Source organism: Homo sapiens, chromosome 16 (genome assembly GCF_000001405.40).
Source record: "Homo sapiens chromosome 16, GRCh38.p14 Primary Assembly".
Lineage (NCBI taxonomy): Eukaryota > Metazoa > Chordata > Mammalia > Primates > Hominidae > Homo > Homo sapiens.
Genome location: NC_000016.10, coordinates 35,501,109 through 35,525,263, shown reverse-complemented (window position 1 = coordinate 35,525,263; position 24,155 = coordinate 35,501,109). Strand labels below are relative to the sequence as shown.

The 24,155-nt window shown below is 41.2% G+C and overlaps 1 long non-coding RNA gene and 1 pseudogene across 9 annotated transcripts; one reads left to right on the top strand and one right to left on the bottom strand.

Annotated features, from left to right (window-relative positions):
• Positions 1 to 841: 841 nt before the first annotated feature.
• LOC105371204 (uncharacterized) lies at positions 842 to 18,654 on the bottom strand. 7 transcript variants are annotated; one of them, XR_942166.3, is made up of 5 exons: positions 18,565 to 18,653; positions 16,499 to 16,608; positions 15,189 to 15,315; positions 8,120 to 8,249; positions 842 to 3,145 (listed from the first exon to the last, which is right to left on the bottom strand). It is a non-coding gene; the product is annotated as an uncharacterized LOC105371204 (long non-coding RNA). The 7 variants fall into 7 exon arrangements; XR_942172.3 differs by lacking the exon at positions 15,189 to 15,315 and having other exon boundaries at positions 842 to 1,302; positions 2,959 to 3,145; XR_007065193.1 differs by lacking the exon at positions 15,189 to 15,315.
• TP53TG3HP (TP53 target 3 family member H, pseudogene) lies at positions 18,094 to 20,177 on the top strand (annotated as a pseudogene). Of its 2 annotated transcripts, NR_034018.2 has the most exons (3): positions 18,094 to 18,938; positions 19,374 to 19,502; positions 19,850 to 20,177. The product of NR_034018.2 is annotated as a TP53 target 3 family member H, pseudogene, transcript variant 1 (transcript). The 2 variants fall into 2 exon arrangements; NR_034019.2 differs by lacking the exon at positions 19,374 to 19,502.
• Positions 20,178 to 24,155: the final 3,978 nt, after the last annotated feature.

Sequence of the window (24,155 nt, the reverse complement as noted above, 5' to 3'; positions counted from 1 at the left end):
TAATTTAGTAGTGTTACATATATCCACATTGTTATGCAACAGGCTTCTAGAGCTTTTCCATTGCAAAACTAAAACTCAATAGCCATAAACGTCAACCGACCATTTTACCCTCTCCTGAGCCTTTGACATTCTACTTTCTGTTTCTGTGAGTTGGACTACTTAAGATATATCATAAGAGGAATCATACACTCACTGTCACTTTGTTTCCTGGCACATTTCACTTAACATTATGTCCTAAAGGTTTACTGTCATTGCAGTGTGTGATTTATTTATTTATTTATTTTATTTATTTTTTTTTGAGACAGTCTCACTCTGTCGCCCAGGCTGGAGTGCAGTTGTGCAATCTCCGGTTACTGCAAGCTCCACCTCCTGGGTTCACATCATTCTCCTGCCTCAGCCTCCTGAGTAGCTGGGACCACAGGCACCTGCCACCATGCCTGGCTAATTTTTTGTATTTTTAGTAGAGATGGGGTTTCACCGTGTTAGCCAGGATGGTCTCAATCTCCTGACCTCGTGATCTGCCCACCTCGGCCTCCCAAAGTGCTAGAATTACAGGCATGAGCCACCACACCCAGCCCAAGATTTTCTTTTTAAATCATATTATATGTATATATCATATTTTATTTTATTTTATTTATCTGTCAAGGGACATTCAAGTAGCTTCTACCTTTTGGATTTTTAGAATAAATCTCTTATAAACAGGGGTGTGAAATGTTTCTTTCAGGTCCTGCTTTGAACATTTATATAGATATCCAGAAATGGGATTGCCAGATCATGTGGCTGTCGGTTCGGGACTGAACGAAGGAGGATGAATGCAGAAATGAAGACAAAAACAAAAAGATTTGTTGTAAAGAAGGGGTCAGGGGGCTCCTTGCTTCTAGGGAACAAGGGCCCTGAGCTTATACAGCCCTTCACATGTATTAGGTAGAATCAACAGGGAGGAAGAGGTAACAGTTTTAGTCAGCTGCTTGATTTATCACAGGCTCAAATAATTGCTTTCTTTATACAACAGGGTCCAGATGTTCCTATAGATAACTACAAGGAACACTGTGCCTGATGCATGACTGTCCTCAGCATTCCTTCTGGTGGCAGATGCAGCTGTCAGCTTGCCAATATCCTGTATTCATGAGAACAGTTTGCTGTTTGCTCACATAGCCTCCAGTGGTATACTGAGTTGGTCATGACCCTCATTCTTTCAGCCTCCAACATCTCCCCCTTTCTGCTTTTGATTTAATTGAATAAAGGTAATTGCAGGCTGTTCAGCTCTCAATTGCTGGTTGGTGTTCCAGTTGATTTTACAGACTATGAACAAAAAACAGAAACATAGTAACATTATTCCAATAATTATGAAAAAGATATTGAGGTGCTGTTAGAATTTTACTTTGTAAATCATTAATATCAAAAGTAACATTGGATGTAACAGCTCCCTGTAAATGGGCCTTTACAAGGTTCCATGGATATTCACTTTGATTATATTCCTAATTGGTTACACAAATATGAGTATGGTTAAAATGACAACGCAATTGCTACTGCAACTGCAAGCTTTGTACTTGTTCTTCTAGCCACAGAACAGTAGTCTTTAACATTGCCACTTCTGTTTGTATCTCAGTGTTAGTTTTATTTTGAAACATCCATGCCTGGTCAGCTGTATGCATCCAATTTTCTGCATATTGAGCTGTTTGAGTGGAGCTGTCCAGTGCTACTGAGGACACCACAACAGAGGGTATTAATGTAATTAAGGAGACTATAGTAAAAATTATCATGCCTAAGGCTCTACGAGTGCCATGAGTAAGCTGAGTAAGAAGTTTTACAAAATGTAAAGTGGGGGTGGCTGCCCAAGGCTCAGATAGATTTACAGGAATCCATAATCCAGGAATGCGACCTAGAATTATTAGGGTGGATATGCTGTGTGTTTGTATTGTGCTATGATTAAGGCAATGATAGAGTTGACAGGAATCACAATTCAATTGGGCATTGTTTACCTGGAGTTGGTCCTTTTTTGCTGCTAGAAAAACATAGGGATTAAAAACACAAATTTCAAACATTTTTTACAAAGGTAACATTAAACTGTATTGAGCACTATTACTATTATTGGATAGTGTCCCAACCCAAATGCTGCCATTCATATATGGGAGTGCTGCCTTCCACATAGACTCCTGAATTGGACCTCTCTTTCCTTGATAATGCCATTGAGGCAAAGGTGGGCTAAAGCCCGTTCCATGCCAAGCAAGTTGCATGGCAGATTGGGATTGAATCCCAGTGTGTTGAAGTGAAGAGATGTTAAAGTTTCGCCACCAGTGCCAGTGAAGTTTATGCCATGTGGTCTGATTCTCATCTCTCCCATCTTAATGACCACAGGGACCCCAGTCAATAATGTCTCCCATTAACATGGACTATTGTCTAGCTAAGGGGCCAAGACAGTGGGCCCAAGGAGGGGGGTGAGAATTATCAAAGGGAGCCCATTCTGTATAATCAGTACAATTTGGGTGATGGGGCCAGGAGTGATTAGTAACTACACAAGTAATATTAATAAAGCTAAGGTCTAATAGGTACATAATTTTTTAATGGTAACTCAACCATGCTTGGGATCAAACTGCAAGGCAACTGCAGTTGAGCAATGTATCCTGGGTGACACATAAAGGAAGTCCCTCCAATGGAGTGGTATAATTGATACCATTGTTATGAGAGTCTAATTGCTCTGTGTCAGGGGGAGTTAGAGGTCCTGGTACTGATGCTCCTTGATCATGATATATCTCAGGAGGAGTGCTGCTTCAGAGTATGATCACACTACCGGTGGGTTAGGAAAATATGCCCAATATGTTTTTGCTTCTGCACAGAAAAATCATACTGCACAGGATATTACAGCTAGCATGGCCATAAACATGGAGTCAGGGGTTTTTGCCTGACCCTGGCACTACACCAGTTTCTCAGCTTCTGGTGTGGTTTTCTTGATCTGACCCCATGTTATGAGGGTTGACGTCAGTGTGACTCTCGTCGGTCTTCATTCCATCTTCACATTCAGATTCAACTGGCTCATGGCTCATACTGGAGGAGCTGGGCCTGTAGTTGGGATCCATGTATCCCTCCAGTCTCCCATTCCATGGTCGCACACAACTTGAGGGCACTCACACGGTTTATCCATCTCCTGTAAAAACACAAGCATACCCTCATCCCCACGTCAGTAAATCCACCAGGCCTTTCCATTGTCCTTCTTCTGGGGATTTCCATAGTACCTTTGGGTAAACTTTCCTCTTTCCCTCTAACATTTGCCAATGTTGTTTGGCCAGAGTCTTACTATCCATATCAAAAGTAAAAAATTAAAAGTAAATAAGGATAAATGTAATTTTGTTTGAGGTGGTAGCTTGTCTCCTATTCCCCCTTTTTGTTTTTACAACATACACTGTAGTGTTTGATGTGCCCACTCTATAATGCCTTGTCCTCGAGAATTGTAAGAAATTCCTGTGTTATGAGTGATTGCCCACAACTGTAAAAAATTTTGAAAAGCATGACTAACACAAGCAGGTCCATTGTCAGTTTTTAATTGTTTAGGGACCCCCATATGGGCGAATGATGACAAACAATGTTGTTGGACATGGCCAGCTGTTTCCTGTTTGGCATGTGACATGTAGCATATGGGAGTGTCTATAGTCACACGAACACAGCTGAGTTTCCCAAAGGCTGCTATATGTGTAACATCCATCTGCCAGATTTCATTTGGTGCCAAGCCTCGTGGGTTACATCCTTCCACAAGTGCAACACCAGGAACATGCTGGCAAGTGGGGCAGGTTTGCACAATAGCTGCAGCCTGTCCATGAGGCAGATGAAACATACGAGTAAGGGCAGAGGTGTTTTGATGCAGTAATGCATGAGAAGCTTGGGCTTGTTGAAATACAGAACCGATTAGTTTATCTGCTTTATCATTACCTAGAGATAGTGGTCCAGGAAGTTGCGTGTGAGAGTGAATATGAGAAATATGAAAAGGAGTAGCATGAGAGCGAACAGCTTGTTGAAGTCTTAGAAACAAGTTAAGCAGCTCTGGTTCTAGGGTGCTCTTAATAGTGGCAGTTTCAGCACGACTGGCTACATTTACAACATAGGCTGAATCACAAACAATGTTATTAGGAGATGAAGTGGTGAGCTGTAAAACCTGAATAACTATCATTAATTCTGAGCATTGAGCTGAAGCTCCAGAGGTCTTTATTGTCTAAGTATGTTAGGTCCATAAATAGCTGCGTGTCCTTTGGCAGAACCATCAGTAAAATAGGTCTGTTCACCTGGAATAGGCTTGTGATGAGTGATTACAGGGAGAATAAAAGGGTGAACTTTATAAAATTGCAAAATTTTGTCTGATGGATAATGGTTATCTATTATTCCTATGAAATCTGCAAGAGCAATTTGCCATGCAGTCAACATTTCCCATGCTGCAGTGTGTTGTTGGGAATCCAAGGGAACAATAATTTTGTCTGGATCATATCCCATAAGCATTTTTGATCTATGCCTACCTATTGTTATAAGTTGAGTAATTAAAGAAAGATAAACTTGCAAAGATTTCACTGTCTGATTGGATTTAAAAAAAGCATTCTAATACTACTACAGATTTGACTATGAATTGGCCTAAAAGTCTTGTTGCTGAATGGGGGGTAGGAAGAATAAACAGAAGCAAAGCCTTTTGTGGCTGTAGCCAGGAGGCATGTCGTTGCCAAAACATCAGCTCTACAAGTTGTAACTTAGCTTTTGCCTCCTTAGTAAGTTGCTGAGGAGAGTCTAATGGAGAATCTCCTTGAAGGGTCTGATAAAGGTGTTTGAGTTGATAAGCAGGAATACCTAGCATTGGGCACAGCCAGTTAATGTCCCCTAATAATTTTTGGAAATCATTCAAAGTTTGTAATCTGTCCCTATGGAGGACTACTTTCTGAGGCCAAACACTTCTTTCAGTAACAATAGTGCCTAAGTACTGGTATCAGGAGGTTGTTTGCACCTTTTCTGGAGCTATTTTGAGATTCCATTTAAGTCAAAGCTCATTTTATTTATCTGAATAACTGATATAAAATTTGATCTGTAGGAGGGGCAGAAAGAATATCATCCATATAATGACGGATGTAGGCTGTGGGAAACATATTCAGAGGCACCTTTAATGCCTATCCTACAACATGCTGATATAATGCTGTTAAGCATGCCTTGGGGTAAGACTTTCCATTGATAATGAGAGACAGGCTCTTTTTGATTAACAGAAAGCACATAAAAGGCAAATCGATGCTTATCCTGCTCATGTAACAGTAAAATAAAAAAATAAATAAAAAATCTTTAAGATATATTACTTTGAGAGGCCAGCCTCCTGGAAAGGCTGCCGGGGATGGCAGACCTTGCTGTAATGCACCCATTGGTTTAATGTGTGCATTAATAGCTCTCAAATCATGTAGCAGTCATCATTTTCCTGACTTTTTAGGAATTACAAATACTGATGAATTCCAGGTGCTAACTGACTCTTCAATATGTCCTGCATCCATTTGCTCTTTTACTAGCGGATGGAATTGTGTTAGTTTCTCCTGTGATAGGGGCCACTGATCCACCCATACAGGTTTTTTAGTCAGCCACTCCAGCGGTAAAACAGTAGATGGGGGAGAAATATCAGTGACTCCCATCAGAAATTCTGATGACCTAGCCCTTTTCTATCTGTTTGCCCAGCTATTGATATAGGATCAGTGTTTCCCTGTAGGGACTTTTCTAAGCCTTTTCTGCCTGACATCCCATTTTCTTTAACATTTTGAACCCTGGATTGTCAATAGTTTCATTTGCAAGTCTTATATCCCATGCTGTAAGTAAATCTTGGCCCCATAGGTTAACAGTTACATTTGCAAAATAAATTTTAAAAGTACATGACTGTCCATCTGGTTTGAGACAGGGTAAAATTTCAGCACTCTGTTGAACACTTTGAGCTGTTCCTATTCCCACTAGCGATGTAGGAGTTAATTGCAGGGGCCAGGATGGGGGCCAATTGTTTTTAGATATTACTGACACATCAGCTCCCATATCCATAAGCCCATAGAAATTTTTTTCCTTTAATTTGCACTGTACAGGTGGGTCTATTAGATGCTATGGGTTGTGATAAATAAATTTTCCTCCTAGCTGTACTCCCAAATCCTTGATTCTCTCATTTCTCCTTATGTGGAGAAGGAAACAACTCCCAGGGAATAAGCAGTAGTTGAGTTACATATTCTCCAGGTTCAAAAACTAACAAATCTTGTGATATTACCACTACTTGAATTTCTCCTTCATAATCACAGTCAACAACTCCTGGGACTACAGTAATGTCCTGTAAGTTGAGATGGATTTTACCCAAAATTAATCCCATATATCCTGTTGGCAAAGGTCTCCAAATACCAGTGGGAATTTTAGTGGGTTTGTTTCCTCCAACTAATGTAACCCATTCTCTGACAGGGAGATCTATTCCTGTGCTTCTGGGTGTTCCTGGGGAAAGGGAATCAATGTTCCTCCATAGACTCCTCCCTGAAATGGGGTTGTGGCCTGGACAGGAAATGCCCTCATTGTTTGAGGGGACCGGGTCCAGGCTCCCTTCTTGGTTCCCGACAGAGGGGTGCCATTCTGATGAAATTTTGAACTGCATTGATTAGTCCAATGATTTCCTTTATTGCAACAAGGGCAAATTTCTGGAATTTTTTCTGCTGAAGGTTGGGTATTGCATTATAAGATCCCTTTTGCCCAAGGTCTGATGGCATTCCTTTTTGAAATGTCCGATTTTTCCACAATTATAAGATTTTCCCATTTTAGGGTTTGACCCTTAGCCCTTTTTAGATTTGTTAACTACTAAATTAGCCATTGCTTGAGCTAACATTGTAGAGCAATGAAGCTCAGTTCTCACATCTTGACAAGTTTTGAGAAAATGTCCTAAGTTTTTAGTACATCTCACAGGAGCCAGTGCACATTTATAATCCGTGTTTGCATTCTCAAAAGCTAAAGTTAAGGTTAGCATTTCTGCAGCAGTGGTATGAGGAATCTGATGCCTCACTGCCTCTTGTAATCATGCAAGAAAATGTGCATAGTGCTCCTTTGACCCTTGCATGCCATGTAAAAAGGATTGTATTGGGACCCCTTCCTCTGGAATTGTGGCCCAGGTGCATTTAGCAGCCAGTGCACGCTGCTTATAAGCAGCGTCTGGGAGTGTCATTTGATATTCCAGGTCTGAATAAGGGCCATTACCCAACAGCATATCCTCTGTAATGTCCCTGTGTCCGGCAGCACAATTCTGTCTAGCCTGGTGTGCACACAGTTCTTGCCAATTTAAATTCCATTTCAGATATGCACTAGCAGACAAACAAGTGTGAGCCAAATGCTTTACATCAAAGGATGGAAGACACATAGTTCAAAATACAGATTCTAACAATCCTAAAGTAAATGGGCTCTGTACTCCATTATTCACTACACTAGCTTTTAATTCCTTCAACAACTTAAACTCTAGTGAGGCATGTTCATAAATAAACTGCTGTGGATTATTTGGATCAGGCCTTACAGAAATAGTGAAAGTGCAATGTCCTAAGGGCTCTCCAGCTATGGTAGCAGAGCATAGAATTCTTTGCAGTGGGGTCTCTATTTCTGTTACTGAAGGAGATGGTACAGGTGTTTCTGCTACTGGAGGGGGTGGTAGACGCCAATTTTCATCCTCCCTCTCCTGTTTATTATTTTCTTTGGGTGTTGTGGGTGGGACAAAAGATTCTTTCAAAATTTGAGATTCAGAACATGGCTCCTGCGGTTTGGCAGAATAAGAATGAGATAATGGCAGGAGGACAGTATGGACTAAACTCCAAACAGAAAAAAAAGGAAGGATAAACTTTAAGACCTTTTTGATGAGCCCATTTTAATCCTTCCCCTACTCAGTTCCAATTTTCCACATCAAGAGCGCCTGTCTGCGGAAACGAGGGGTTATGCATGATAACCTCCTGCAGCAGCTTAGTCAGCGTTTGAGAACTAACCTGAGCACCAGATTGTTTACGTAAAACTTTAAGCAACTGCACGTAATGCTGCTCCTCAACAGACAAACTCTGCCCCCACGTTACCCTGATTCAGAAACTTCCCACTCCCAGTACCTCTTTAGGACACTGACCTTATATCCTCTGCAGGCAGACTCATCCCAGGGTTTCTCATTCATCTGGTCAGTTTCACTTTTTCTGCTCCAGCAGACCTTCTTTGTTCAAGTCCCTGTTCAGGTGCCACTTGTGGCTGTCAGTTCAGGACTGAAGAAGAAGGACAAACGCAGAAATGAAGACAAAGACAAAAAGATCTGTTTTAAAGAAGGGGTCAGGGGGCTCCTTGCTTCTAGGGAACAAGGGCCCTGAGCTTATACAGCCCTTTGTATTCATTAGGTAGAATCAACAGGGAGGAAGAGGTAATGGTTAGTCAGCTGCCTGATTTATCACAGGCTCACATAATTGGTTTCTTTGTACAACAGGCTCCAGATGTTCCTATAGATAACCACAAGAAACACTGTGCCTGGGGCATGACTGCCCTCAGCATTCCTTCTGGTTGCAGATGCAGTTGTCAGCTTGCCAACATCCTGCATTCATGAGAACAGTTTGCTGTTTGCTCATATAGCCTCCAGTGGTATAATGAGTTGGTCACAACACTCATTCTTTTGACCTCCAACAAGATAGTACAATAATTCCATTTTTAATATCTGAGGAACCTCTGTACTATTTTTCATAATGGCTGCATTATTATTTTTCCACCACTCAGTGCACAAGTATATCAATTTATCTACATCCTTGAAAATATTTATTATTTTCTCTCGTTTGATAGTGGCCATCCTAATGAGTGTGAAGTAATATCTCATTGGGATTTTGCTTTTCATTTCTCTAAAGATTCGTGAATTTGACCATCCTTTCAAATTCCTCTTGGCCATTTGTATATCTCTTTTGTAGAAACATCTGTTGAGAGTTTTGCCCATTTTTAAATAGGGTTGTTCAGTTTTTTTTGTTGAGTTTTAAAGTTGTTTATACATTCTGGTTATTAACTTCTATCAAATATATCATTTGTAATTTTTTTCTCATTTCTTACGTGACATTAAATGTTTCCTTTATGTCCAGAAAGCTTACTACATTTGAGGTAGTCCCATTTTTCTGCTTTTTTTCTTGTTACTTCTGCTTTTAATGTCATATTTTAAAAAATTACCAAGACAAATGTCATGATTTTTACCTCATATTTTAAGAGTTTTATAGCTATCTTACTTACATTTGTTTAATTTATTTAAGATATTTTTGTATATGGTTCAAGTCAGAAGTCCAATTTCATTTTCTTCCATTTTGATGTTCACTTTTAGAACACTATTTGTTAAAGGGTCTGTTATTTCCCTGTTGTTTGGTAATGGCAACTTGTTTGAAGATTATCTGATGATATTCATGATGGTCTATATCTGGGTTCTCTATTCTGTTCCATCATCTATTTGTCTTTCTGGTTGTATTTCTATAGCTTTGTAATCTGTTTGGAAATCAGGAAGTGTGACACCTCTAACTTCGTTCTCTAAAGCTTCTTTGGCTACTCATTGTCCCTTGATATTCCGTAAGAATTTTAGGACTTAAAATAATATTTCTAAAAAAATCGTAACATTGGGATTTTGATAGAAAATACTTTGAATTTGTGTTTCACTGTGAGTAGTATTGACATCTTAATAATATTAAATTTTTTGAGCCGTCAAGAGTCTGCTGTTTTAAGTCTCACATATTTTTTAATTTGCCAGTTTCCTTTTGCTTGTGATTTGTAGATGAGGTCTTATTATGTTGCCCAGGCTGGTCTCCAACTTTTGGCCTCAAGCTATTCTCCATCCTCAGCCTCCTGTTGTATTTCAATTACATGGATGAGCCACTGCACCTGGCCTCTTTATTGTTTTTCTGACATTTTTATGATTTGGAGGTAATTTTTGAAAAAGGTTATAAATATGTATCTCTTTAGAAAGTTTTTCATTTTTAATGTACTCAAAACACATAAAATGTACCATCTTAAATATATTAAGTACATAGTTAAATAATATTAAATATATTCACATTGCTATGCAACATATCGCTAAAATGATTTTATGTTGTAAAACTAAAATTCAATACCTATGAAACAACAACTACCCTTTTATTTCCACCCCTAAGGCTCTGACTGATACTATTCTACTTTCTGTTTCTAAGAGTTTAACTACATTAGATATTTTATTTAACTGGAGTCAAACAGTGTCTGTCCTTTTGTGACTGGTTTATTTCATTTACATAATGTCCTCAAGATTTATTCTTAGTGTAAAAATAATCAGATCTCCTGCTTTTAAAAAACTGAATAATATTCCATTATTTGTATATTCCAAATTGCCTTTATCCACTCATTCACTGAGGGACATTTGGGTTCCTTCCACCTATCAGCTGTTGTGAATAATGCTGCAATGAATATGGATATAAAAATAACTCCTCATTTGGCCATATATATGACAGTTTATTCCTGTGATCTATTCTGTTCCATTGGTCTGTCTGTCTGCCTTTATGTCAGTACCAAATAGTTTGGTTACTGTAGTTTTGTAATACATTAGGAAGTCAAGGAGTGTCATAGCTCCAATATTATGCTTTTAGAAAGTTGTTTGGCTCTTGATACTCACTTTAGATTCCATATAAGCTTTAGAATTTTTTTTGTATTTCTGCAAATGAAATGACAGTTAAAATTTGACAGCGATCACATTGAATCTGTAGATAATTTTGGGTAGTGTGAACATCTTCACAATATTGTCTTCCGACCCTTAACGAGAGCATGCTGAAGAGTGGGTTGTTTAATTTCCACATATTTGTAGATTTTCCAGTATTTTTTCTGCTATTGATTTCTCATTGTATTCCCTTTTAATCAAAAATGATAGTTTGTAATATTTTAATCTCTTTTGGGACAGAGATTTGCTATGTTACTCAGGCTGAAGCACAGTGACTCAATTATGGCTAACCACAGCCTTGATCTCCCAGGCTCAAGCAATCCTCCCACCTCAGCCTGCTGAGTGGCTGGACACACAGGCACGTGTAATCATGCCCAGTTAATTTTTTAATTTTATATTTTGTAAAGACAAGGTCTCCTTATGTTGCCCAGGCTGGCCATGAACTCCTAAACTCACTCAATCCTCCCAATTCAGCCTCCCAACATGCTGGAATGATAGACATGAGCCACCATCCCTGGCCCATATTTTACCATTTTAAAATTTAGCAAAACTTGTTTTGTGTCCTAGTAGGTCATCAACCCAGGAGAATGTTTCATGACCTATTGAAAAAATTGTATATTCTGATATTGCTGTGTGGAGTGTTTGTTTCTTTTGTTTTTTCACTTCTATTCACTGTGACTAGTGTTTTCTATATGTCTGTTAGGTTTAGAGTTTGCAGTGTTATTCAAATTCTCTGTTCTCAAGTTAACTTTCTGTCTGGCTTTATTATTCATTACTGATAGTGGGTAGTGGGGTAATTATGTCTCTTACTATTTTTGCATAGCCATTTCCTTCTTCATTTGTGTCAATGTTAACTTTATACATTTGGGAACCCTGATGTGAAGTGTGCACATATTTATTATTAACACAGCTTCCCCAGTGAATTGACAGTTTTATCATTATACAACATCTTTCTTTGTCTGTTGTTTCAGTTCTGACTTAATGTGTATTTTGCATAATTATGATCCACGTTGCTGTCATTTGATTGCAGTTTTCCTAGAAGGTATTTTTCATACTGGCACTTTTAGCCTATCTGTGTGCTTAGATGTAAATTGAGTTTCTTATAGACAACAGAAAATAAATCTTGTTTTTTTAAAATCTCTTTAGCCAATTTACATATTTCCAGTGTATATTTCACTCCATGTATATATTCATTTTAATTCTGAAAAGAATGGAATATTTCCTTTTTGTTAATAGTTCTATTTGTTTCTCGTAGGTATTTTCTCCTCTTTTCTGCTCTTATTGCCTTCCTTTGTATATAATTGATTTTTATAGTGACACATTTCTATTTCTATTTTAATTTGCCAAAGCCAAATTGCAAGATAAAAGGTTTGCCTTTAATCTAGTCTCTTGACATCTAAATTCTGGAGATTAAGGCTATGGACAGATCTAAAAACATGAGGTTTCCCCCTTCTGGGTCCCCATTTTTTGGACTTCTGTCTGATTTCTGGAAGAGTGATGAGTCCACACCAAGCAGCAGCGGACAGCAGTGGTCTATCTGTGGACACTTGTTTCCTGTAGGTCCCTCCTGTCTCTCAGTGCACCACCTCTCTTACCCTTGAAACAGGAGTGATATTGGCAGAGAAGAGGCATTCACTCCTATCTGGCAGAAAAGGAAAATTCAGGCCCTTTACCTCCCGAAGGTCAGAAAAGTCAAGAGCCCTCAGAGATGCACCTGCAATGTGGCAGCCACTGGCCACAACAGGCTACTGAGCACCCAAATTGTACACAGTATGTACTGAGATATGCTAGGGAAAAATATCAGAAAGTATTTTAGAGATTTAGTTACATATATATCTATATCTATATCTATCTATATATATGTAATGATTTCATTCTAATTATATGTTAAAATATTTTGGATATATTGGGCTAAGTTATTAAAATCAATTTCACTCATATTTCTTTTTCTTTATGCTGCTACTAGAAAACTTTGACACACGTGGCTCACATTTTATTTCTACTGCACATTGCTGCAATAGAAGATTGCCAGTTTTCAAAGCTCAGGCTGCCTCAAATTCAAGAGGAGAGAAAGATTGTAAAATCTAAAATTTAAAAATAATTGTCATTGGTCAGGCACGGTGGCTCACGCCTGTTATCCCAGCACTTTGGGAGGCTGAAGTGGGTGATCACTTGAGCTCAGGAGTTTAAAACCAGCCTGGCCAACATGGCGAAACAATGTCTGTACTAAAAATACAAAAATTAGCTTGGCAAGATGGTGGGCACCTGTATCCCAGCTACTTGGGAGGCTGAGGCAGAAGAATCGCTTAAACCTAGGGGGCACAGGTTGCCGTGAGCCAAGATCACACCACTGTACTTGAGCCTGGGTGACAGAGTGATACTCTTTCTCCAAAAAATATAAATGTACACAAAAATAATTGTCATTGTTTTCATTTTGAATAATACACACACATCCACACCCTCACCCCTCCCCTTTGTGTGTGCAACACACACACACAAAGTGGGGGAAAGAGAGAGAGGATCTTGTTCTGTCACCCAGGCTGCAGTGCAGTGGCCTGATCTCAGCTCACAGCAACCTCTACCTCCCAGGATCAAGTGTCCCTCCCACCTCTGCCTCCCAAGTAGGTAGGACCACAGACATGTATGACCATGCCATGCTATTTTTTTTTCATTTTTTAAGAAAAGGTGGGATGGGGGGCACCCACATCAAATAAATTATCCTTTTAAAGTGCTTTTGAATTTCATTTGCAACTATGTTGTGGATGATTTTGCATCTATGTTCATCAGGGATATTGGCGTGTAATTTTTTTTTTTGTAATGTCTATCTCTGGTTTTTGTATCAGGGTAATGCTGGCTTCGTAAAATGAGTTTGGAAGTATTCCTGTTTCTTCAATTTTTTTTCAAAGATTTGGTTCTTTTTAAATGTTTGGTAAAATTCAGGAGTAAAGTCATCAGATCTAAACTCTTTACTCATTACTGATCTATTCATGTTTTCTATTTCTTTATGGCTCAGTCTTGGTAGGTGGTACATGTCTAGAAATTTATTCATGTCTTCTCCCTTACACAATTTGTTTGGATATCATTGTAAATAGGAGTCTATGTACACAGCAATCTTATGACCTTTTGTATGTCTGTTTTGCCAGTTGTAATATCTTCCATTTAATTCTAATTTTATTTATTTGAGCATTTATTTCTTAGCCTAGCTAAAGATAGGAAGATTTTATGTTTTCAAAAAAAAAACAAGTTCTTACATTTTTTCTACATTTTCTGTTTTTTTTTTCTAGTGTTCATTGTATTTATTTCTGCTCTGTTTTTTTAATTAATTTCATCATCTGCTAACTTTGGGATAAGTTCTCCCTCTTCTAGTTTCTTGAGTTATATCATTATTTGTTTATTTGCAATCTGTCTTCTCTTTGGAAGAAGGTGTTTACTGCCTCTCCATCTCACTGGGATTAGCACCCATATTCGTTATGGTACTTTTTTTTTTTTTTGAGTCCATCAAACTTCTGATCCTAAGATTGCACCATTGGCATACTGGTAAGCAGCAGTGCTAAAAGTTCACATGATGAGTAGGGGTTTTACAGTGAGAGAATTACCCCAAATGTTTTGGGAGGGACTAATATTAAATTCTCTTTCTCCTTTTTATGACTCATCAGTGCCTAAGCCATAAGGCACAAGGAATGCACACCTCATCATGAGATTGCACGTGACAGCAGCAAAGGAAGCAGCAGCTCAGAAAAGACAAGGCCACTGTTCTTGCTTGCATGACAGTAGCACTTCTTAGAGCAACTGAATGACAAGCATAATTCTCTCCAAAGTAAAAGTCCCTTTTGTTTTTGCAATTTTACAGAAGACCATCCCTGGGTCTGTCCTGAGAGTGTGCAATAATAAACAACGTTCAGATGACTACCCAGGCATTTAGTAATAGTAAGCAGACCAGATGAAGCGACCACAGGGATATGGCCGGACTCCTGGTAATCAGGACTGAAGTGCTGACTGATTAAGGTGCTGTGTTTTCACTGCCTTGACACGCAAGTGTCTTGCAAACTGCCTGCCAAACACAGGCTAAACATGATGACACGTCACGCGGGAGAAGAGTCCATTGAATATTTATGTCTAGGTAATGTGTGCTTTAGTGTGGGCAGGGAAGGCAAATCATGATAAAGGCCACAAATTGTTATTTAGACCAAAGCAAAAGCCCACCACAAACTGATGGCTCTGACAGAGATGACTTTTAATGTATCATGAAACCAGTAGGCCAAAAGCAGTTAAAGTTGAGCAGATGTCCTCCGTCATGGGTGATTAATCCAGTTAGTGTTGTGAATTGTTTGATTAGCCTCCCCTTTACCCCATTGGTGAGGGAGAAATTACCACCCTAATGCTACTGGAATAGTTAAAACCATGGCACCAATCACTGGACAGATGAGATTGACAGCAGTTATTCATTACATATAATCATGGAAGGAGAAAGCTATGTAAGGTATACAGACCCACACAGCCATTGCACCTGGGAGCAGAGAGAACAAACAGGAGGTGTCGGGGAAGGCTTTGTAGTATCAAGAGGGTGAGATGCTCCTGGTTCCCACAGGAGGTGTTATTGGTTGGCCTGGATAATTCTGTGACCTTGGGGGAAACTGAAACACATTATACTACCAACTGCTAAGACTACAATAACATACCATAACAGTGTAATTCTGTAATGTACTACATAATACTAATGACAGTATGTTCTCACTTTTTTGATAGATTCTGGGAAACTGTGACTTTAAGTAAAACAATATACTATATAATAAAACCAATTTTACCATTGGCTAATTGATATAAACAAGTTAATTTTCCATGGCATACAGTATTTTGTTTTACTTAAAGTCAGTTTCTAAGGACCTATCAATGACGTTAAGTGAGCACTTACTGAACATGTATTTTAGTGATGTGTAATATAAAGTAGCTATATAAAATATACTATATAAAATATACTATCCATATACAAAACTACATGTGCTACACATTACAGTCTTGAACCACATAAAAATGTTCTAGAAATTGACAGACCATATATATGAGGGTGTTTTGTTGTGAGTAGGTATATGTAAACCTGCCTTTAAAAGCCAAGGGAGTTGAAAGGTTGAAGAATGAGGCTGACAAATCAAGTTTCTCAGAAAGGAACATTTAAGATGGACTTATGAATAGAAGCTATGTCTCAGATGGCTGAAGATGGTGGATCCTCCCACTGTTAACCCCTAAACCCAGACACTTAACACAGGAAAGGAATGTGAAGGACAATTGAAATCACCATATAAATTTGCCTAAGGGTAGGATTTACACTAAGTAACTGTTCACAATAACAACAAGATTGTTTTAAGGGTAGGGCTTACAGAACAGTAGGTTTCAGTATATGACATAGGTACTTGAAACCCCCCAAAAAAACATTAGAGGAAATACCTGTGTCATAATTTTAGGGTTTTTTTTTAGTAACTTAAAATCTGGTTATATTAAATTAAGTAATCTTGTTTCTCACTAAAAATTAACATTGCTAAGCATTAAAATGATAGTTTTAAGACAGTTTTTACCCCAGCACCAGTGATAATAGGGCCCCAGGTCCCACCCCTTCGGGTCCTGAATGACAGAAGATGTGAACCAACTCATAGCCACATGACGACAGGGTAAAAAGTTCCAAGCTGCAGCCCTTTTCAGGCAAGACTTCCTCCTTATGCTGAAGCCCAGACCTCACCGTGGACATTTGAATTTATCCTTGTATATAAGGTTATTTTTATTTACAAATTATATATATATATGGCCAGGCATAGTGGATCTCACCTTTAATCCCAGCACTTTCGTAGGCTGAGAGGAGAGGGGCTCTTGAATCCAGGAGTTTGAGACTAGCCTGGGCAACACAGTTGGATGTTATGATCAAGTTGGATTTATTCCTGGGATGCAATAATATTTTAATATGTGGAAATCAATAAATGCTATACACCTTATTTACACAACAAAAAGATTAAAAATCATGACTTTTTATGCATGCCTAAAATTATTTTGACAAAATTTAAAATCCATTCCTAACAAAATTTATAGCAAATTAGGTATAGAAAGAATATACCTCAAAATAAAGAGATGCGTTCTTTATTAGCTATAGGACAAGCCCATAGCTAACATTGTCAGTGGTGAAATGTTGAAATCTTTTCTAAGATTTATTTTAAGATAAAGATGCCCACTCTCACTACTTCCTTACATACAGTATTTGAAATCCTGCTCAGAATATAAGACAAGAGAAGAAAAAATTGGGGCATTTAAGAAAGAACAAGGTCTTATATTCATGGAGATTAACGCGCAGGTTTTTACAGATTTAACAGCATGAAACCTGGTACCACCCAGGAATCAAAGGAACTCTCCCTGAGGACACAGGGCTTTAGGGCGTCAATTATTAAGAGGCTACATGAAAGCAGAAATGCTCCTCAATGTTTCCATTGTCTAGATATAAAGTTTCAACAGATGAGCACCAGTAAGTAAAGGCACATCCCTGACTACTGTAGGTGATGATCTTTTCACACAAAGCAGAGATATGAAACCTGACAGGTTTCAAAGACCCCCCAAGTGCTCCATACCTTGAAATTCATCTCCACAAAGCTGGAGCACCATCTGTTCCTGAGCCTGACAGGTTTCAACGACCCCCCAAGTAATCCATACCTTGAAATTCACCTCCACAAAGCTGGAGCACCAGCTGTTCCTGAGGGATCAGGTCATCATCTGTGTCTTTGAGACACTGGCCAGTCAGGCTTCAGTGGATATGAGGTCAATAATTTCAAGTGTAAAATGCCTAAACTATCATAATCTTTAGGTAGATATTTGGGGGCCTGCACACTTAAATGGGTTGGTGAAATGTCAAACCAGACACATGGCTGAAAACTGGGATTTTCTCTTCTGCTCTTAGCAGTACCTTGGTAGCCCAGTGATTACCCTCCCTCATTCCTCCACGTCCACGTCCGCGAAAAAGGCACTGGTGAGGGTGACATTTTCACAAAGCCATAGCCCATGATCACTTCTTGCAAAGCTCTGAACTTGTGCATTCCCAGGCCAGGCGGTGGGTGTCTTTCAAAGTCGGCTGAGCTTGTGCTTTGCTTGGACAGAGCGGAGAGCAACAGCACAGTGGACACCCTTTGGGACCTCAGCCCAGTTTCCAAAACCACTTAGGAAAGCAGGTGGCTCCAGGGGCTGGGGCAGGGGTGATGCTGTGGAAAGAGCCTGGGTGAGGGTGGGAGAGAAAATCGACCTGAGCAGCAGAGAGCCGCGTGAGTGAGGACCAGACACTCCTAATTTCGGCAAAGACGGGGCGCACTTCGCAAAAACACACCCTCCTCACTGGCCAGCCCACGCCTCCCCTTCAAGTTCCTCTCCTGACAATCCCCTTGGCAAGGGTTTGGCATGGAAACAATGGCCAGCAAAGCTTGGTAAATGAAGCCGCCTACACCGCCCTGCCCCTCCCTGCACGGCCGCGCTCCGCCTCCGCTCCTATCTCAATTTGAATTGTCCTCCTGCAGCCCCACCACCCACAGTGGGGAACCGGTGAAGAGACTACAACTCCTGGATGCACCGGGAGGCGGGTGTCGCCCCGCATCCCCCCGCCCTGGGCTAGGCGCACAGCGCAGCCCGGAGCAGGCTGGCATCCTAGACCCTCTGCCCTGCCAACAACACAACAACAGCCGGGGAGTGGACCTGACCCCGGAACTCCCGAAATTTCCTGAAGACGGTTCCGCTCCCTGCCTCGCCCTTCCAGGCAGCCCAGCAGTTTCGCCCTGCGGAGGGAAGCCTTTCTGTTCTCAAATCTCTCGTGCTGGGGAGACAGTGGAGCTAGGGCGGCTAGTTTCCCCTTGTAATTGTGACACCTTGTCTCCTCGAGCTGCAGGCTAATGCTTGTCGTGTTCGTAGTTTGATTTCTCGCAGATCAACAAAGGGCCGGTGGCCTCTCTCGGCCTCCGCGGGAGGGTTGCCAGGGTAACGCTCTTCCGCCAGACTTTGGGCGCGCCCCGCCCCTTTTCTCACACAGCCTCCTCCTCAGCCCCACCCTCTCTCGCTCCTCCCTTTCTAGTTCCCTTTCAGACATGCGCAGTGCGGCCGTCCCTAGAGGCGGGTTAACGGCCGCGGACCTGGCAGTTCTCAGGCTTCTCCAAGGGAGAAGCCCCCTTGCCAGGGTCTCGATTTCCCGCCAACCAACAAAGGTTCATTTGCCTCTTATGGCCTGCGCGGGAGGGTTGCCATGGTAATACTTCTCCGCCGGATGTTGGGCGCACCCCGCCCCTTTTCTTGCCCCCCTCCCCCTCCACCCCGCCCCTTCTTGCTCCTCCCTCTTGTCACGCCCTTTCAGACATGCGTAGTGCAGCCCGTCCCTAGCGGTGGGGTAAAGGTCCTGCCCTTTTACACATGCGGAGTGCACCCGTTCCTAGGGGTGGGGCTAACGGGCCTACCGTTTCAGACATGCTCAGTGCAGCCTGTCCTTAGGCGTAGGGTAATGGTGGGCGACCTGGCAGTTCTTGGGCTCCTTGGGATCCCCTCGAGAAGCCCCCTTGTTAGTGTATGAAACCGTCAGTTCACTGCCAGTAATGAAAACATCGTGTCCTTAGTCACCTGCCATTAGCCTTTTCGAAACCATTTTTTCTGTTCCCTAAGCTGTCACAAATCCTCCTCTGCATCCCAGGAGTGCCGCTTGGTCCTCGGGCTCGCAGCGTGGCCCACACCTGGGTCGGGCCTCTCACGGGGACGCTCCCGCCACTGTGATAAAGAGGAGAAAACGTCACAGGGGAAGGGCCTGACCCTGCTGCATCCAGTAAGGAAACAGCCACAGGGAAGGGACCCCGTAAGCCACTTTGGGAGCCACATCCACCACTTCTCTGACCCCACGCAGGCTGCTTCCCAGGCCTCATGGTACTAGTGTGGACCTCCTGGCTGTGATTAATGCAGGTCAGCAGGACCAGAGCGTCCCTTGGTCCCTCCCAACCCATGAGGGTATTTTCTGTGGTGAGGTCAGCGATAGTGTCTGCGTTTCTGCCCTGAATAAGGCTCCCTTGAAAAATCTTTTAATATCTCTTTATAAATACCTCCTTTGGATCACTTTTAATAGTTTGCTGATAGAACTAAACAGTGATCATTCTCTTAATTCATGTTTCCATTAAGTTTTTTAGATTAAGTACTGCACGACTACTCGCTTCTGAAACTGTCATAAGAAACTGCCTCAGCTCCCTGCAGGGTGGACACACAAGAGCAGAATCTCCGTGGGACATCTCTTTGGAGCATCAATATTACTACAGTATTTGGAAGACACAAATTTAAATAATTTCTAAGGTAAAGAATGGAACATTTAAGACAAGGCTGGAAAGTCATCTGCCTTTAATAACTCATCTGTGCCTCACATGTCAGACTTTCTCCAAGAAAAAAACTAAGGAGAACTTATTTCCATTCTTATAAGTAGTAAAAATAATAAATCATATCAAGTCAATTGAAAGTCCTGTCTGCTAGTTTCTTAAATCACAATATGGCCTTGGTATGGTTTTATTTGTATTTTTGTGGGGGGTTTGTGGATCTTTAGATTAAAAAAGAATTAGGTTTTTGAACAATTTTTGAAAGTTTTCAGATATTAGTTGTTGATTTATTTTTGTAACCCTTTTAATTCTTCTGACTCTCTCCTCTCCTTCTCAGACTGAATGATTCCATGGGTCTCTAAGCCTCGGTTTATTTTCTTTAAATTTTGTTGATTTGCTTTTCTACCCCATTTAATTTTTTCTGTCTCTCTCTTCTTCTCAGAATCAATCATCCCACAGATAGGTCTAAGGCTCTGTTCATTTTCTTTTAAACTATTTTTACTTCTATCCTCAGATTGGTTAAATTATATTGCTATGTCTTCTGTTTCTGATATATAGAAAAGCTCACAATTATTTTTATTATTTTTCTATGTGGTCATTTTTCATTTCTCTGCTGATGTTCCACATCTGTTCATTTATGAGAATATTTTCCTTTGCCCCCATGAGCATGCTTATAATAGCTGCCTTCAAATTCTTGTCTGCTGATTATGTCTTGGACATCTTGGAGATGTCTACTGCCTGCTTTTTATCTTGTGTATGTATTATATTTTCATGTGTTTTCACGCATCTCCTGAATTGGAAAATTGTGCACTAGAGACTGTATAGAAGAGTTAAAGAGACTCTGGATTCTGTTTTGTCCGTTTGAAGAGTGTTGTCTTTAAAGAGGGTGTTAATTGGGCTGGCTTCTAACTTCAATACTTCTCTCTTCTATGGAGGGCACAGCTGAAATATGCATTCAGTTTTTATACACACATATTTCATATATCTATTATATATAGAAGTGTTTCTATAATAACATATAATGTTTTACCTGGGATTCATCATTTTTCTCTGTGAGATTGTTAGTTAAACTAGCTACTTCATCATTAGTGGAAGCCAGAACCTCAGTTTTGATTTTTGGATTTAAATACAAGAAATTACAGAGTATGGATACTTTTACATCAATTTTTAAATGTAAGATTATATTTGTGATATTTATTTATGCTGTTGCAGATATCTATAGTCCGTTCATTTTAAAAAGTCCTTTTTAACATTGTGGTAAAATATACATAAAATTAACCATTTTAACAATTTTTAAAAGTGCAGGTCAGAGGAATTAATCACACATTGTTCTGCAACCATCATCCACATTCACAGGGAATTTTATTCATTTTGCAAAACTCAAACTCTGTTCCTGTTAAACAACAATCCCCCTTTACCTTCCTTTTGTCCTCTAAGAACTAACTGCTTTTCTACTTTGAGTTTCTATGAATGAAATTACATAAGTACCTCATATGGGTGGAATCATAGAATATAGTAAAGAACTCATGAGGAAGAATAATACACACTGTGTAACATGTTTATTAATTTAAATAAACACAAGAGACCAGTAGTACATGGTGATTATAGAGAAAGACAGATAAAAAAGAAAAAGCAGTTAGAAGTGTGTGTTAAATTTATGACTATGGCGTCTCAAGTTCCAGAACAGTGAGGCCCCTGTCCCAGACACAGGGCTGATCACGGTGAAGCTGGGAGCTCAGTGTAGCTGTATGACTCCAAAGCCCATGCTCAGTCCAAATGTCACTGAGCCCTGAGGAACTCTGCCCCTGCCAGCCCAGGCACTCAGTGGCCCTGAGATTCACCATGGCCTGTTCTTGGTCTTGAGTGTGTTGCTGGCCTACTGGGATGGGGGCTTAGCTGACAGAACAAATAGGAGCTTCAGGAAAGAGTGGCAGTTGTGAGGCCACCAGGAGCCACACCTCAGGCTTCCCACTGCCTGCCCAGGGGTCACCATGCAGCAGGGCCTAATGTTGACCAGGAAGCCATGGCCCCAGGCTCTCTGAAGCTGGTCACAAGACAGAGTGTTCTTCTACCCTCCGCTAATCTCCTAAGCTCTCACCTTTTATTCTGACTGTGCCACTTCATGGACTGGGACCAAACCCCAAATTCCTCCTCTGTCAGAAGATGATAATTATCTCTTGTCACTGAAGTAGTTGCATTTCCTGAAGGACTTTGATCTGGAGACGGAAGGGCAGGATTCTGACAGCTCCTGGGTGGAAGATAATAAATGGAACTTGTGGGGGAGAGAGAGGGCAGGGGCAGTCTCTGGGGCTTTTCTTTTAAGGGGCTCCACCCTCCCCTCCAATCCCATGTAGCTCCAACCTGTTCTCAGAGTTGATTATAAAAAGTCCCTCCTCTAGGAATTTATCATTGATTATATTCATCTAATCAAACCCTCCATTGGGATGGGTCTCCTCCTTCTCTGTGTATCAAACTGTCCCAATAAATCTAAGATGCAGAGGATGGAGCCAGGGAGTGTCCTCCCCACGGTGGTCACTGACTTTCACATCGCCATCCTCCCTCAAAGCGACAGCGCCAGCTGCTCACCTTCCTCCTTTATTAGTGTTGATTATATTCCCTAGAAGGCAGACAGCCAAGATTAATGAGAAAGGCTCCATGGCCCATGACTAGACCTCATCCCTTATACTTCCTATGCTGCACCACCACCAGGGCCGCCAGGGTCAGGACATGTTCATACAACAGGACTTAGACCTGCATCAGGTTCTGGGCTCCACAGAAGGGACACTGAGGCTCCGTGACTTTTGAGCTACTCCAAGTTGCTTATCTCTTTCCTATGGTGCGTGTGCTACAAAGAGGAGTGGAGCCCCCATGTTGGATGTATCTAGCCCAAGCTGGACATTTCTATCCATGAAGCTGCAGCCATCCCTGCCCATACAAGCTTCCATCTTACTTATCTATGATTGCAGCCCGAACTTACAGGTTGCTCTTTGTTAAAGAGATGTGATTTTTTGGGCTGCTTTTCATTAGAAGGGATGTTACGCTGAGTACTCTTTGCTCTATCTGCCTAGCTAGTTTCTTTCTACCTCTGCTCTCAGTGATAACTATTCTGTTTTAAGGGAGTCCTGGGGGTGGGAACAGACAAATTTGAGACCACAAAGTACCTTAGAATAAGAATTCACCCTTTAATCAGCTTTAGTGTATTGCACATCTATTATAATATCAGTTTCATGCACGACTGAATATAACAAGAAGGGAAAATGTGTATATTCGAAACATCTAGATGACAAACAGACTTTCCACAGATTATTTGTGTGCTCCTGTTTTAGAACTTGGTCATTCCGCTGTAGATTATTTTCTTTGGAATCACCAAATGATGAGGAAGCCTCGTCTGGTAATCAGGACACAGTGGATTACTTGCAGGGAAGGTGTTTTTGTGGAAACCCTAAAGGGGCAGGCACTGCAGCCCACAGGAAAGCCTCAGCCACGATTCTCTCTGGTGCTGCCCTGGCTGGGTAAGGCAGCCACAAAAAGCTCTGATTCCCTGTCCTGAAGGGCAACCTTGGCCAGGCAAGCCCAAGCCTCCAGGAAAAAAGGACAAACAAGGGAGCACCCCATGTTCAGGCCTTGTTGTGAGCTGCTCCTGCAGCCTGCACAGGGGCACAACTCCTACATGCCTGGTCTGTTCTGCTCCTTTAGGAGATGGAAGATTCTCCACCCTGTTGGCCGGGCCTAGGAAAAACTCAAGGTCTGCATGGCAGTTTCTGAGTCTCCAGGAGCCAGTTGTCTCATTGTGATGACAATGAGAATGGCCAGAAGTACTGGGGTGGGGAAGACAAAGGGCAAGCAGAAGGCGAGCTTCCAGAAAGAGGCTTACCACAAATGCTTAAGTGCCTGGGTGGGCGCGGGATTGCTGGGTGTTGCCTGGGGGCAAGTCAATAAGCCTGGCTGGGGATCGCCAAGATAACCATCCCCTGCCAGGGGTCACCAGGGATTATCTGAAAACCTTCGGGAATGATACATGTCCCCGTTTGCTCAAAAACGGGAAGAAGCTGCAGCCTCAGCAGGTTATCCAGGCCACTGAGAGGCGCAGTAAACCCACACCGAGTGGACTCCCACATTGG